Below are 16,133 nucleotides of genomic sequence, written 5' to 3' on the forward strand. Positions count from 1 at the left end.
AATTAGTAGCATTTCTATACACCAAGAATAAACTGGTGGAAAAAGAAATCAAGAAAGCAATCCCAATTACCATTGTTACAAAACAATACCTAAGAATAAATTTTCTTTTTGAGACAGGATCTTGCTCTGTTGCTGAAGCTGGAGTGCAGTGGTGTGATCATGGCAAACTGCAGTCTTAACCTCCCAGGTTCAAGCAATCCTCCCACCTCAGCCTCCTGAGTAGCTGGAACAACAAATGTGCTCCAACATGCCTGGCTGATTTATTTTTATTTTTAGTGGAGATGAGGTCTCTCTGTGTTGCCCAGACTGGTCTCAAACTCCTGGGCTCAAGCAATCCTCCTGCCTTGGCCTCCCAAAATGTTGGAATTACAGGTGTGATCCACTGTGCCTGACCTCCTAAGAATAAATTTAACCAAGGAAGTAAAAGGTCTCTACAAGGAAAGCTATAAAACACTGGTGAAAGAAATTAAAGAGGTCATACACACAAAAATTGGAAAGACATTCCATGTTCATGGATTGGAAGAATTAATATTGTGAAAGTGACCATACTACCAAAAGCAATCTACAGATTCAACATAATCCCTATCAAAATACCAATGAAATTCTTCACAGAAATAGAAAAAAAAAACTTAAAATTTATATGAACTATGGAACATTCCAAATAGCCAAAACAATTTTGAGCAAAAAGAACAAAGCTGGAGGCATCAAATATACTACAAAGCTATAGTAACCAAAATAGTATGGTACTGTCATAAAAACAGACACATAGACCAGTGGAACAGAATAGAAATCCATAAATAAGTCCATGTATTTATAGCCACTGACTTTTGACAAAGGTGCTAAGAACATTCAGTGGAGAAGGGGCAGTCTCTTCAATAAATGGAGCTGGGAAAACTGGATATATCTGCATGCAGAAAAATGAAACTAGATCTCTATCTCTCCTCATAGACAAAAATCAAATCAAAATAGATTGAAGACTTAAACAAAAGGCCCAAACCTATAAAACTACTAAAAGAAAACATGAGGAAACACTTCAGGACATTGGTCTGGGCAAATATTTTTTTGGTAAGAGCTTAAAGGACAGGCAACAAAAACAAAAATAGACAAATGGGGCTTACATCAAGCTAAAAAGCTTCTGCATAGCGAAGGAAACAACAGAGTGAAGAGACAACCTATGGAATCAAAGGAAGTATTTGTAAACTATCCATCCAGACAGAGATTAGCAGTCAGAATACACAGGAACTCAATAGCAAAGCCAATTAAAAAATGGGCAAATGATCTGAATAAACATTTCTCAAAAGAAGATATACGAATGGCCAACAGGCATATGAAAATAAATGTTCAACATCACAAATATCATGGAAATGCAAATTAAAACCACAATTAGATATCATCTCACCCCAGTTAAAATAGCTATTAGCAAAAATTGAAAAAAAAAAGATGCTGGTGAAGATGTGGAGAAAGTGGAATGCTAGTACTTTGTTAGCGGGGCTGTAAATTAGTGCAGCTACTTCGGAAAACAGTATGGAGGTTCTGCAAAAACTAAAAATAGATCTGTCATGTGATCCCACAATTCCACTGTGGGATGTGTATCAAAAAGAAAGAAACTTAGTATATCTAAGAGATATCTGCATGCCCATGTTTACTGCAGCACTACTCACAATAGCCAAGATATGGAATCAACCTAAGTGTCCATCCACGAATTAATGGATAAAGAAAATGTGGTATATATACACAATGAAGTACTATTCAGCCATAAAAAGAATGAAATTCTGTCATTTACAGTAACACAGATGAAACCAGAGGTCATTATGGTAAGTGAAATAAGCCAGGCACAGAAAGAAAAATATGGCATGTTCTCACTCATATGTGGGAGCTAAAAAAGTTGATCTCATGGAGGTAGAGAGTGGAATGATGGTTACCAGAGGCTGGGAGGGGCCAGGGGAGGTGAAGAGAGGTTGGTTACTGGGCAAGAAAATACAGTTAGATAGAAGGAATAAGTTCCAGTGTTTGATAGCACAGTAGGGGGACTATGGTTAACAATAATTTATTGCATATTTCAAAATAGCCAGAAGAGATTTGAAATGTTCCCAAAATAAAGAAATGATAGATGTTTAAGGTGACGGACATCTTAAATATCCTAACATGATCATCGCACGTTATATGCATGTACCGAAATATCACATGTACCCTCATGAATATGTACCATTATTATCTACCAATAAAAAATCAAAATCATTAACTTTTTAATTTTTTTTTTTTTTTGAGACGGAGTTTCGCTCTTGTTGCCCAGGCTGAAGTGCAATGGCGCCATCTCAGCTCATTGCAACCTCCGCCTCCTGGGTTCAAGTGATGCTCCTGCCTCAGTCTCCCAAGTAGCTGGGATTACAGGCATGCGCCACCATGCCCAGCTAATTTTGTATTTTTAGTAGAGACGGGGTTTCTCCATGTTTGTCAGGCTGATCTCAAACTACTGACCTCAGGTGATCTGCCCACCTCAGCCTCCCCAAGTGCTGGGATTACAGGCGTGAGCCACCGTGCCGGCCAACTTTTTAATTGTTTATGCCTTTTGGATCAGCAATTCCATTTCTATGAATTTTCCCCAAGGAAATGATCAAAACATATGCAAAAACAAATACAAATGCATATGTGTGTGTATATATATGAATGCTAGTTGTTGCATTGTAATAGAAAAAACAGGAAACACATGTCTGCTAACAGAGGGTATTTAAATACATTATAATACATCTGGACAGTCTCATGCTATGCAAACACCTAGTGAGCTGTATCTTTATGCAGTGATAGGGAAAGATGTCCATAATATTTTATTAAGTGAAAAAGCAAGTTACAGAAGGATATATGCAAGATTTTATTTGTCGTTAAAAATCTCCATGTTTTAAAACCCACTGGAAGATGAGTCCCAGCCACACCACTGCAAGGCTTCCTTAATTGGTCCAATCATCTATTTATTAGAGTGAGTGCAATACAGTTCCTGCCCGCATGGGGGGAAACAGGCTGGGAGGAGGGCCAGGGGCAAGTAAGTGCTAGGAGGGGAAATGGGAGGGGGCTGGGCGGGCACTGTGGGGAGGGGCAGGGGTTCCCAAGGCAACGTCGAAATCTCCAAATACAGTGGGCCTGACGGGGATGACAGAGAGGCTGAAGAGACAGAGCCGTCCTGCACAGTCCAGGCACCACCCTGCCCTGCCACTGCCTGGCGGGCATCTTGAGCTCCAGACCCTTAGCCTCTCCGGGCCCCCCAGTTTTTTCCGGGTAAGAGACTCGAACTGATGCTCTCTAAGGATTCTTCAAGCTCTGAAATTCTCTGCTGACATTTGCCAGCAGCAAGGTTGACTCGAATCTGAAACCTCTGGGGAAAGTGGGGGCCTCTCCCAGAATGGAACCCTCTCTGAACACTTTCCCGGGAGGGACCTTAGACTGTGCTGCCTGTTGCCAGCGTCGCAGGCAGGAGGAGCGCAGTCACTATGGGTGGGGTGAGTGCATGGGGGAGGGAGTGAAAGAGCAAATGTCCAAGGAAGGGCATAAGAGAAGGGCTCCAGCAAGAATGCAAAGGAAGATTTGTCTAAAATGGCTTTTCAAGGCGGTCATGAGCTTGCCTCTAACCCAGCAAAGCGTGTGGAAGAAACATCGGCAGTGAGGGCTCCCATCTCTCATTTCTCAAAGAGCCGAGACTTTCAGCGAGGCCACTTGCCATTCCTGGTAGGTAATCAGATCGCTGTTAATTAATAAAGCTGTCAGGTGGCTCGTCCTCTCTGGTCATTAGTATCCTTTCAGAAAGAGAATCCTGCCATCACCGCCTTGTCCGCCCCTCCGCTTGCCAGCAATTAACTTAATGCTATGCAAATGAGAGGCTCTTCTCATCATTAGCTTATAGCCACGAATGTTAATCGCATAATTGGGTCTTCAACAGGGTAATTAGACACGATTTCCTCCATTAGTCTTACAAGGCTAATTATTGTTGAGCGGAGAGGGGGACTGCTCCCAGGGCTCCAGGCGAAGAGGGGCATCTGGTTAAAGCGAATTCGGGCGCATCGTCCGCCAGGTAAAAACAGCAGTCGCGATCCATTGTCACAGCCCACTGTCCCCACCCATCGTGGGGACCGGGCTAGGGAGGGAAACGGAACCAGGGGAAGGCCTGGGGGGGTCACACTCGTGCCCCTTGCCTGGGTCCTGGGATGCAGACAACGTGGCATTTAAAAGTGAAAGCGGAAACAAACAGCAGCCCCGCCAGCCCGGGCCCGGAGGCCCAGCCCCGCGCCAAGGGCCACCCCTCGGCGCGCTCAGCTTCCCTGGGCCTCTGCTGCTTCCTCAGTGCCATGAGGACCGCGCTCGATGGCGTCCAGGGGCCTCTGGGTTTGACTTTCATGGCTATGAATCTCGGAATGAATAAAGAGCCCAGAACGCTGGCTGGGGTAGGGGGTGGGGCAGGGGCGAGGGGACACCCTGTGGAGGAGCGGGCTGGGAGCGCGGGGGATGCCCCTCGCCCTGCACGCGCGCCCTGCCCCTGGCTGTAACCTGAGCAGCCCGCGTGAGGGTCAGTGGTGACTTCCGGGATTGAATTGGCTGGGAAGCCGGTCCCATTTCAACAGAGACCTGGGGCAGCGCGGTGGGCAGCGGGCTGGGCCGAGATCGAGACCGGGACAAGGCAGGGAAGAGCGGGATGGGTCGGCCCCTTCAAGGGGAGCCCTGGGGCGCAGTGTGGGGCGGTCTTGCTCCCTGTTGACCCCCATTCCCCCTCCCCTGGATCCAGGAACCCAGTGGGCTCTGGAAGCAGCTGCTGAGTGCACGGCAGACCCCCTGGCATGGGGTTACACCTTCTCTCAGGCCCAGCGGTGTGGGCCTCCCCAGTCAGGGAGATGCTTCCCCCATCTCATCTCAGTGGGGAGGGAGCAGCTGGTGGCCTCGGCAAACGCAGCACAGGAGATGGGAGGGTCTGGCTGAGCAGGGGGCCTCAGGAGGCCTCTGGGAAGCCAGCAGGGCAGGTGTGGACTTAGTGCCAGGGTGACCTGAAGACTCTGCGCTCAGCGGCTCAGAGCACAGGAGTCCAGGGACTCCGTCTCAGTCCGAGTCCGTCTCCACTGCCATGATGTGCTGTGTGATGAGGGCAAGACACTCAGCCTCTTGGAGCCTCAGTTTCCTCAGCTGAAAGGTTCGGGTGATGCACCCTTTCCTGGTCTTGCTGGAAGGACTAGGAGGGAAGAGGTAGGCCAGGTGCACAGCCCAGGGCCTGGCCCTCCTGCCCACAGGAGACAAGAGACTATGGAGGAAAGTGCTATGGCAGATGGTGGTCAGGCTTACACTGTGAGAATTATGTCCCTGTCAACAGAACGGGCCAGGAATCATGCACATGGCAGCCCTCTCTGGATGTTTTTACGAGATTCTGTTTATGAAAATGTGTCGCCTTCCCTGGATCGTACAATCCTCCATCTTTATATGCTTAAGCCCCTACCACAGGCTCTCAATAAGGCCATTAAGGGGTCCTTCATGGACTGAAAGGGCGCCTCTTGTAAAGAAACAAACCCCAAGGTGTCACTTGATTGAAATGTGAAGGCAGAATGAAGGTAAGCTGGAGAGTACTGGGTCTCCATCCATCTAGCATGTTCTGACTGCAATTCCCTTCAAAAGGCTCAAGGCTCCCACCTTGTTATGGCGGTGTGGCTCCATTATGAATGGCCAGGGCCATTGACAAGCAGCGTCGTGTGGTGTGAGGTCACCAGAGGGGAAAGGCTAGGACGGAGCTTCCTTTCAGAGCCTGTGTATCAGTCTGTTTTCACGCTGCTAATAAAAACACACCTGAGACTGGGTAATTTATACAGGAAAGAGGATTAATGGACTGACAGTTCCACATGGCTGGGGAGGCCTCACAATCATGGCGTAAGGCAAGGAGGAGCAAGTCACATCTTATATGGATGGCAGCAGGCAAAGCGAGAGAACTTGTGCAGGGGAACTCCCCCTTAAAAAAACCATCAGATCTCATGAGACTTATTCACTATCACAACAACAGCATGGGAAGGACCTGCCCCCATGATTCAATTACCTCCCACCAGGTCCCTCCCACAACACGTGGGAATTCAAGATGAGATTTGGGTGGGGACACAGCCAAACCATATCACCCCAGAATGCTCCTGCCACCACCATCAATGAGAGGAGTTGCTCTTTGAGAGCTCACTGGGTGTTAGACTCTGGTGATTCCCAAATTTTTCTTCCTGAACTACCAGACTCATAGCCCGCTGCAGATGTTGTTAGGGTTGAATTGTGTTCCACAAAATTCACCTGTGAAGCCCTCACCCCCAGAACCTCAGAAGGTGACTGTATTTGAACACAGGGCCTTTAAAGAGGTGGTTAAGTTAAAAGGGCCCTAAAAGGTGGGCCCCAATCCAATCTGACTGGAGTCCTTCTAAGAGGAGGAAATGTGGACACGCAGAGAGGCACCCAGGGCACACGTGCCATGTGAGGATGCAGTGAGAGGCCTCAGAAGAAACCAAACCTGCTGGCACCTTGATCTTGGGCTTCCAGCCTCCAGGACTCTGAAGAAATAAACTTCTGTTAAGATACCTCATCTATGGTACATTGCTGTGGCAGCCCCAGCAAACCAGTAGATTTCTAAGAGGCATCTCAAGCTTATCATGCCCAAAACTGAGCTAGTGGTCCCTCCTCAACCCCATTCCTCCAGCCTCCTCCTCTGGTCATCACAAGGCCAGTCCATTCTTCCTGCTGCCCCAGCAAGCACCTGAGCTCTCTGCAACGCCTCTCTCTCTCACATGTCCTACATCCAGTGTGATAGCAAATCAATGGTACCAATTCTACCTTCAAAAGACTTCTCACCACCTCCACAGCTACCACCCTGGTCCAGGCCTCTGGCACCTCTCACCTGGATTACTGCCAACAGCCCTATACCTGGCCTCCCAGCTGCTACCTTGTCCCCCTGCCTACAGCCCTTTCTCCACCCACTAGGTATCTTTTTACAACATCAGCGGGATCCCATCTGTCATTTGCTCAAGCCCCACACAGTGGCTCCCACATCACTCCAAGGAAAAGCCGAATTCCTTCAAGGTCTATGGTCTCCTGTGACCTCTGACACCTCACCTGCGAGTCTCTCCCTGATCTATGGCCAATGGCCTCCTTGATGTTGCTCAGAGTTGCCAGGCACATTCCTAACTCAGGGCCTTTGCACTGTAGTTCCAGGCCTGGACCACTCTTCCCTACATCTGTCCATGGCTCATTCCCTCACTCCATATAAGCCTCTGCTCAAGCATCATCAGAAAGGCCTTCCCTGATGGCCCTCTATAAACATACCACCCTGTCCTCTCCAGCCTTCCTGGATGGCCCTCTATAAACACACCACCCTGTCCTCTCCCTTCCAGCTGCCCGTCTTCCCTATTCCCCTTTATCCTGTTTTATTCTCCATAGCACACAACATATTATGCATCTGGTGTTTATAGACTTTCTCACTCCAACCAGAATGTAAGACACCTGAAGCGTCTTAGGTTTTGTTTCCTTTTGAGTCCCAAGAACTCAAGTAGTGCCTGCATGCAATCGATGTTCCACAAATATTTGTTGCCTAACTGAATAAAGTCATTGCCATGTTACATGGGAGGAAACCATAGTTCAGAGTGACAAATACCCTGACCAGCATCACACAGCCCATAGATGGCAAAGCCAGGATTCCAACCCAGTTGCTGACTTCAGAACCTCTTTCTTAACCACTGTCCTATTATGCTGCTTCCCATCACGAGAAAAATATGTAAAGTCTTATGGAGGTGCAGGGCAAGAAGAGGCATCAGGGGAGGCTTCCTGGAGCAGGTGGCATTTGAGCTAAGACTTGTAAAAAGATAAGATTTGTATGAAATCCCATGGTGTTCTGAAAGAAGAAACACCATGAGTAAAAACTCCGTGTTTAGGAAACAGGAAGTGGGTAGGTGTGCTAAGGTGTAGGGGGGAGACGGGAGTGGTAGATAGGAAAGAGAGGAAGCATGGGGCCCCCCTCTTCCCTTGGCTTCTGGATGCTCCCCATTTCTCCTTCTCCCCACTCCACCTTCTACTCTGGGAGGGGCTCCTGGCCTGGCAGACCTTATTGGGATGCATGAAGCCTTGCCCTATGACCTAGAATCCACGCTCCTGAGACAGGCCCAGGAGAGAAAAGGAGGCACAATGCCAGCGCCCCTGGATGGACACTGTCTCGTGGCCAGAATGGGGTGGGGGTGGCTCTGACCCTCCTGCTCATGGGGGGGTTGGGGGTGGTCTGGAATCTGCAGAAATCTCAAAGCCAACAAGGAGGCGATGCCTGGAGTCTTACAATCTCATAAAAAGTAAGGCTGCACTTCTATTTGTGGAAGACTTTTCTTAAAAGTTTTTTTATATATTAAATAATTTCTGTGATATTTAGGAAGAAGAGCTTCAAGCTTTTAGACATCTGCCACCTGAATCTGGCAGAGGCTCAAGCTTTTAAAGCACAGTGCCGGGTTCAGCAGTTCAGCACTTTAGTTATGCCTGTAAGGAAGATGGAAAATTGAAGTACACTCTGATGTCTCCCGAAGTCCCCTATGGGTAAAGAAAAACAAATATGATTTCTCCAAGTCATCTTGGTGTCTCTGTCCTCTTGCCTTTCTCTGGGAAATAAATTTAAGTGAACGGTCGAGCATCGCGCCTGCCAAAAATGGGGGCGTCTCCATCAGAGCTCGATTCAAATGCCAACTACCCCGGGCTCTGTTCTGTTAAAGGTCACCTGTCATTGTCCACCCGAGGCATGGAGATTGCTTTGGAGCTCTGATTTCCATGGCGGGGAAGGCATGTTTATCTTCTCCAATGTCTTATTCACCGCTGGCTTAGGCCGAACTGTTACCGGTTGAGTACAACCCACTGGGCCCCTAATAAGAGCTTGGAATCCACAGGAGGGAAAGAAATTGAGATGCGCTTTGCCAATGAAGAGTTGTAAACCTTAAAGGTAGGCAAAGAGAAGTCTTTTCAGGAGGGGAAATTTCCTGCCTGTGAAGGTTCTCAGACACTACAGCAGGAAATGGAGAACAGTCATCCCTTTGTCTCCAAAGGACATGTTTACCCAGAATGCTGTGCTGAGAGCAGGGGATGGCAAAGGGACCCTGGAAACCTCTCCCTGACCTCCAAGAGTCAGCAGGAAAGTTGAACCAGCAATGCAGGCTGGACTGGGGGGCTCTTAGAAAGCTCTTAGGAAAAAATGTTAAGTGGTAAATAAACTGAGTTTCAGTATACTGCAGTGAGACTGTTTGTGTCTGTTTATTTTATTTTTATTTCCTTTTTTATTTTTTTGAGACGGAGTCTCACTATCACCCATGCTGGAGTGCAGTGGCGCAACCTTGGCTCACTGCAATTTCCACCTCCTGGATTCAAGCGATTCTCCTGCCTCAGCCTCCCAAGTAGCTGGAATTACAGGCGTGCACCACCATGCCCGGCTAATTTTTGTATTTTTAGTACAGATGGGGTTTTGCCATGTTGGCCAGTCTGGTCTCGAACCACTGACCTCAAGTGATCTGCCCGCCTCAGCCTCCGCCTCCCAAAGTGCTGGGATTACAGGCATGAGCCACTGTGCCTGGCCTCATGTCTGTTTTAAACTAGCAAAATTACTCACCAAGAAAAGACCACACAGAGCCCTTGCTATATGGCATGACCCCATCTCTTCCTCAAGATTAAGCTCCCTGATAGAACAGGCCATCTCTCCATGGCTCCCTGGAAGCTTCTTCCCACCTACCCCAGGTACCATGCAATGCTCCCTCCCAATCCTCGGCTGCCTCTTGGGGACAGCACAGCCATGCCTGCGGTTGCCTAGGCACTCTCTCTGCAGAAATTCACTGTATTTTTATACTCAGAAAAATCCATGAGGCTGCAGGCAGAGTTCACAGGTTATGTACATTTTTTGATGTCACTGCTTCAAAAGTAATTGCTCTTATGCTCTCAAACACAGACAACACACCTAGCAACAGGCTGTCATAAACTAAGTTTTAACCCGAGAAAGCAGCAGCACCGGCCTCTCCTGCATTTGCCCACATCATCCTCACTGGACTGCCTCTTACACAAACATTGGAAATAAGTGGTAAAATGTCAATGGTCCCCAGGCAGGAAAATAATGGGAGAACTTTCCTTTTTCCACTCCAGTTCTGAGTTTATTTACTGAGAGATTAAAATGCTACAACTCTAGGGGTGGTGGGCTGCTGGCCTATCACCACCATTACTGGCCACAACCTTGGGCTCGAGCCCAGGGGTGCACCTCCTTCTTAACTGCAGGCCGGATGACCCAGCCACCGCCTCCCTTCTGACCTCAAAGGAGGCTCAGGGAGCACCCTGCAGGCCTGGGCCAAATTCCGCCCACAGGGTAGCACTCGCTTTTGCTACAACAAAGCACGAGGCCTGCTCTGAGAGTCCCGAGAGTCCTGTTGGTCAGAGTGTGCTGATGCTGAGTGCAAGTGGCTGTGAGAAGGGTGGTGGTGACCAAGCTGGTGGCACAGGAAGGCAGCCTGCTGTGGGGGCGGTGGATCCAAAAGCATGGATGAGGCCGTCCCTCAAACAGCTGTGCCAGCAGAGCTCTGAGAGTGCTGCGGGGCCGCCACGCTGCAGGATGGAAGGGCTGGAGGATGGAGGACCTTTGCTTGAGCTTTAATCTCTTCAAGGCCACCTCCATGAGTGTGCCTCGATCCCAAAAGATGAAGAGCTCAGAGTTAGGACAGGCCAGTGCCTTCTCATCCCACCCCAAGACAGGAGAAGACGATTCACAGGGCTCTCTTCCCCCAGCTTTGAAGTCATGGCTAAAAACTCTTGATTCCCCTTCACGGGCAATTTACTAAGCCCCCACCAACCACTTCCTTATCCGGCTTCCACAGGCCATACTTGGGGCCAAGTTCTAGACAACCTGGGACAGCCTCTGTGCTCTGGAGCCTCCAAAATTATTTAAATTAGCCACATTAGACCCCTGGTTCCATGGGGGTCTCAGATATGAGTCTGATTTCATCCTTGTCTCCTTGCAAGATCATCCTCCTGCCCCGCGTGTCACCTGGTGGATAAGGAACTGCCTTTCTCCAACTCTACCCCGCAAAGCCAGCCCAGGGGAAGCAGGCTGCTCAGAGGGGCCAGCCACAGCCACAAAATCTTGCGACTGGTATTTTGGTGAGGAATTGGGTTGAACGTACTTCTCAGAAGCTCTGATCTCCACAGAAAGGCACAGAGCCCTCAAAATATTAGGAATAAATATGGTCACACGGGTGGAGCCCCTATTGGTGCCAGTTGTGCCCAGTGCCTCCCCGCATCATCCCATTGAATCCTCTCACCTGATGCCCCAAATCCCACTGTCCCTGATTTTTAGTCAAGGAAACGGAGGTGCAGAGAAGCTAAGAACTTGCCCAAGTAGAAGTAGATCAGAGACGAGCTGCTTGGACTCCACACCGGTGTTCCTTGCCCCTGCTGCCTCCCTGGCTACAGACTGAGCCTGGCTCTCTAGCAAACTCAGATTTCAACTTTGAATCTGTTGACAACATTATCTCAGTTGTACAGAGTATTTTCCAATTCATCATTCCCACCCATACATATTTTCCCAGCAAATATGTCCATTAGCCCAGCAAATGGTGGGCGGGGCTACTACTCCCTTTGATGGTTAAGGAGACTTGAGGCTTAGAAAGGGTAAGTAGCCGCCTGTAGACAACTTGGCCAGTAAAGCAGTCAAGCAGGGCTGAGGGAAACAGTTGTGAACTATCAGGAAGCTCTGCGAGCAAGGAAGGAAACTTGGGGTGCAAGAGAGATCGCTGCCAAATGTTTAAAGAAAGAGAAGAGCCCAGAAAAGGCAAGGCTGTGGGTCCCACCCCCAACACACGCCCCACTTTCTTTTTCACCCTTGTCCACCGACACTGTGGAAACAATGGCCATTCCACCAAAGCTGCCCGATTTGAGGCAAAAACCTCAATCCCCAAGTGGACCTCTGTCTCGAGGTGCGAAGGAGCGCAGCAGGCCTTTGCTGCATCACGGCCCATGCGACAAAATCAGAATGATGTCAGGTCCTGTTGCAGTCAGCTGCATGGGGGCTTCCGTTAGGATGGGCCTTCTGTTAGGCGGAGGCTCGCAGCAAACCCGTCTTTAAGAAAGAGCTTTCTTCCAAGAGAAAAGGCACCATGGCGCACACAGTCAATGATATGTATTCCAGCCCATGTCTGGTAAACTCTCGGATGATGGCAGCAAGGCAGGGTCACCCGGGTTCTATTAGCTCAATTAATGAGGAGTAAGATAAGGCTAACACCCTGCTCGTCGGGAGGCTCAGGCCCAGAGCTGCAGTAATGGAGTTATTAACCTTCGTCAGCCACTGGATTTTGCTGCTGATTCCAACTCCATTTCCTAGTTCAGGCCTCCATTAATGGGCTGTTTATTATCCATAGTCCGCATAAGGATCAGCTGCAGAAATAGTGCTTCCTGGAAGGACCCGTGATAATGAAAGAGAGAGAGAGTGGGGCGGGCAAGAAACCCTCTCTACTTTGCATTTTAATTTTTCTTTGGTCCTACTGCTGTCCTCTTAAGAAATTACAGCATCCTTCTCACTTTGGACCATGTTAGAAATGACAAAGTCATTATCCAAGGGTTTCAATGTGTTGTCCCCCAAAAGAAATTGTCATACGGAAATAAATTACATCAAATTAGGGAGCTCTGGCCTATAAACTATATGCCAATCTGGTTTTTAATTTCATAATGTACCACCATATTCCATCGTTTAAAATTGGACATAATTGAAACAAAAAAATCAAAACCACATTTAGCAGAATAATTTTATAAACATTGGTAAATGCCCTGATTAAAAATTTCCAGTTTGCTTCAGTTTGAATTGAAAAAAAAAAAATTTCCAGTTTTCTTGGCTCGATGGGGTCCTGAACAAAAGGGCAATTTTGTCTTTGACTATTTTGGGGTCATTCGCCGCATGTGTTACCAGAAGAACAGGCTACCTTCCCCACTTCCAAGCCAATGAGAAGAACAGGCTACCTTCCCCACTTCCAAGCCAATGAGTGTCTTTAAAATGTCTTCCATAGATAAGGAAAGCAAGCAGGTCACCATTAGAGAAAAAATATTTTTAAAATTATTTGTACCAACCCATAGTGAGTAGATGCAGCAAATACTCTTTGAGGGTCATCCCTTCAATATTTGCCATCTTAGCCTCTTTGTATTGAGCAGGAATTCAGCGTCACATGGGGAAGTGTCATAGTAAATGTGTTTACACTTCTTAACATATAGACAAATCTGTAGCATCCTATTTGGGGGCTGTGTGTGCTTTATTTATTTATGTATTTATTCATTTTCGGAGAGACAAGGTCTCCTTCTGTCACCCAGGCTGGAGTGCAGGGGCACGATCATAGCTCACTGCAGCCTCTGATTCCTGGGCTCAAGCAATCCTCCTACCTCAGCCTCCCAAGTAGCTGGAACTACAGGTGTGCACCACCATGCGCGGCTTAGCGTGTAACTTGTTATGTGAGAACAGGCGAGAAGACAAACTCTCCCCTACACATTTGAATAAGAGTCGGCCCTGACAGGAGGTACTCTGGGCACTCACGTGCAGAGCAGGTCATAGCCATTCACAGTATCCGTACAGCTCTTTCAAGCTATCAACCACATGCACACATCCTCCATCTACTCTCCAGAGCAGTAGTGCTGTGAGGTTAAAAGAGTAGAGATTATTGTCCCATTTAACAGATAAGGAAATTGACGTTAAATGTGTCTTCTTCAAACCAGCTAGCCAACAGAGAAGGATAAATGCAATCCCATTGCATAAAGGATAGAATTTAACAGTTCAGAGCAAAGAGTTGGGTTCAGGGCTGGCCCCTTCCATGGATCTTACCTGGCTATGTGGCCTGGAGCAAGGACATGGCTTCTCTAACGCTGACTGCCTTTTACCTGAGCAAACCTCCTTTACTGGGCTGTTGAATGGATGGAATCACATAGGAAACAACTGCATAATCAGCACTCAGTAAAGACCAGATATCATCATTATTACTCTTGTTGTCAAGATAATGCTGATTATGAAGGAGGAGGGGGCAGAAGAGAGAAGGAGGAGGGAAAGGGAAGAAGTGTCCTCAATGGACGTGATCTGGGAACAAAGTGGGAGGGGCTGTTTCACGGCAGTCAGAGAATAAAAGGAGAATGAACTGAAAGATGAAGAAGGAGAAAGAGAAAAGCAGAGAGGAAGTTGAGAAAGGCAGAGCAGAGATGCCCTGTGCAAAGCCATGGCAGTTTTGTCCTCGGAAATCTAAGAAGAAAGCTTCCAGACCTGAGGGGACAGGCTTGGCCCCAGCAGACTGCGCTGAGTGCGGAAGTGACAGCCCCTTGTGCCTGGGGGTGGGTGTCTGCCAGCCTCCCTCCCCTCGGCAGCTCTGTTCTCTCTGGCTTTCTGGAGGAAATGTCTGTGTGGAAGGTCTGTTTAGCAAAAGCCAACAACAACAACTACAAACCCAGCACCAACGGGGAGCCATATGCAATGAGAAGAGACCTGTCACTGCCTTTCCAGGGACAACTGAAACCCTCTGGGCTCCTCTGGATGTGGGACACACATACCCATCTTATTTAAACAACAATAATACATAAAAATTCAGAAACCACCACATCCTCAAAGGAACCTATATAGCAGTTTCCAGTTTGCACAAAATGACCTGGCACCCAAATGAGCTAATCAGAAATCTCATTCTTGGGTGGTTTCCTGAGAGTCCTAAAATGCAGTCCAATGAAGAGAGAAAAAGATACTCCAGAAAACAACACCAAGATTAAAACTCCCTGCTACCATTTTGCTGAATGTCATTGCCACTGACTCATCTAGAACCCTCCTTTTACATCCTTTTCCGGGGATTTCTGAGATAGCATGACCAAGACCTTGTGGGGGAGGGTTAAGGTCACAGCTTGCCCTGCCCCCTCCCTCCTTGCAGCACGGAGGGAAAGGAGGATGCAAAAAAACAGTGGGTCTCATACACGGCAAACTTCCCAACATCAATCAGAATCCTATACTCTTTCTCTGTAGTAAGCATTAATTTTAAAAGAAAATACTGTGCTACAAGCTTGCAGCATGAAATGAATTATTTTACAGCCAGGCAGAGGGCAGGTTTCTGGATGCAGCCATGAACATAGTTCTTTCTTTGTTTCTTTCTTTCTTTCTTTTTTTTTACTATTATTATTACGTTTTAACAAACTTTATAGCCCATTTTATTTGTTCTGAAATAACTTTTTTTCCTTCTTTTCGACAGATCAATTACTTGGTTTGTTTCCCTTACTGTATGATGTTGGAATCAAGAGATTGATACTGCTCAGTGGAATATAATTTAGTATTATGTGCCATGGGTTTATGAGGTAGGAGTCAGACAAAACATTGCATTTGAACACTACCCATTTATTAGCTCTAAGAAGAGATTTATATTTGACAAGGAGACAATAGCTTTGTTTTCTGATAAGCCAAAGAGGTCTATTTTTGTGTCCAATACACTGAGTAGCTTACCCTTCCCCGATAACTCTATTTACTAGTGTGAATATATTTTAATAATAAAATTGATATATATGTAAATTTATTTTAATCTAATTTCATTGAACCTTCCTTAAAAAAAGAGCCTTTGTAGATTTTCATATCTGAATTATAGATTTCTGTATCGTATTCCCAGATTGATTTCTAGGCTATAATTCTGTCAAGATTTCCTCCTGGTGTCAAAAACAGCAACACCACAGCTAGAGTGTTTTATAATTGGCATCACAACCGAACCAGAATTACAGTCCTGATAGTCATCCTGGTGCTAGGTGGATTCATTTTAGAATATTTCTCTCTTTCTTAGCCTGTATCTGAACTTGAAGGTTTACGGCTAAGATTACTTTCTGAGTTAATCATAAAAATGTTTAACTGAAAGCTAAGGTGCTGGAGATGGAAGAGACAGAGATGAGAAAGGAGGAAGGAAAATATACCTTCAATGACTACGAAAGGATGATCAACAGCAGCATATGATTAAATCTACATTGTAAATCAAGATTTTTTGTTCCTGCCTGTCCTTCGCCCTAGGGTCAAATAAATTAAATTGGCATTCTTTACTAAGTCTTTAGAACGTGATTTTCACTCCGTGGTGAACGGAAGAGTGTTTCCTTGCAACCCT

General features: G+C 47.0%; 1 protein-coding gene across 12 annotated transcripts in view, besides 4 other annotated features; it reads right to left on the reverse strand.

Moving 5' to 3' along the window:
* Positions 1-16,133, reverse strand: part of AK8 (adenylate kinase 8) — a 153,469-nt gene that overhangs the window by 40,442 nt on the left and 96,894 nt on the right. The window lies entirely within an intron of this gene.
* Positions 3,953-4,012: an enhancer, noted in NCBI's record as "active region_29222". NCBI's record gives its function as "activates an Ori minimal core promoter by ATAC-STARR-seq in GM12878 lymphoblastoid cells {active_cell/tissue: GM12878}" and the evidence as "EXISTENCE:reporter gene assay evidence [ECO:0000049][PMID:35858748]".
* Positions 4,123-4,417: an enhancer, noted in NCBI's record as "tiled region #7884; HepG2 Activating DNase unmatched - State 1:Tss, and K562 Activating non-DNase unmatched - State 2:TssF". NCBI's record gives its function as "activates a minimal TATA promoter and a strong SV40 promoter by Sharpr-MPRA in HepG2 cells, with weaker activation in K562 cells {active_cell/tissue: HepG2 | K562}" and the evidence as "EXISTENCE:reporter gene assay evidence [ECO:0000049][PMID:27701403]".
* Positions 4,123-4,582: a biological region, named in NCBI's record as "Sharpr-MPRA regulatory region 7884".
* Positions 4,283-4,582: a silencer, noted in NCBI's record as "silent region_20437". NCBI's record gives its function as "represses an Ori minimal core promoter by ATAC-STARR-seq in GM12878 lymphoblastoid cells {active_cell/tissue: GM12878}" and the evidence as "EXISTENCE:reporter gene assay evidence [ECO:0000049][PMID:35858748]".

Source organism: Homo sapiens, chromosome 9 (genome assembly GCF_000001405.40).
Source record: "Homo sapiens chromosome 9, GRCh38.p14 Primary Assembly".
NCBI classification, from domain to species: Eukaryota; Metazoa; Chordata; class Mammalia; order Primates; family Hominidae; genus Homo; species Homo sapiens.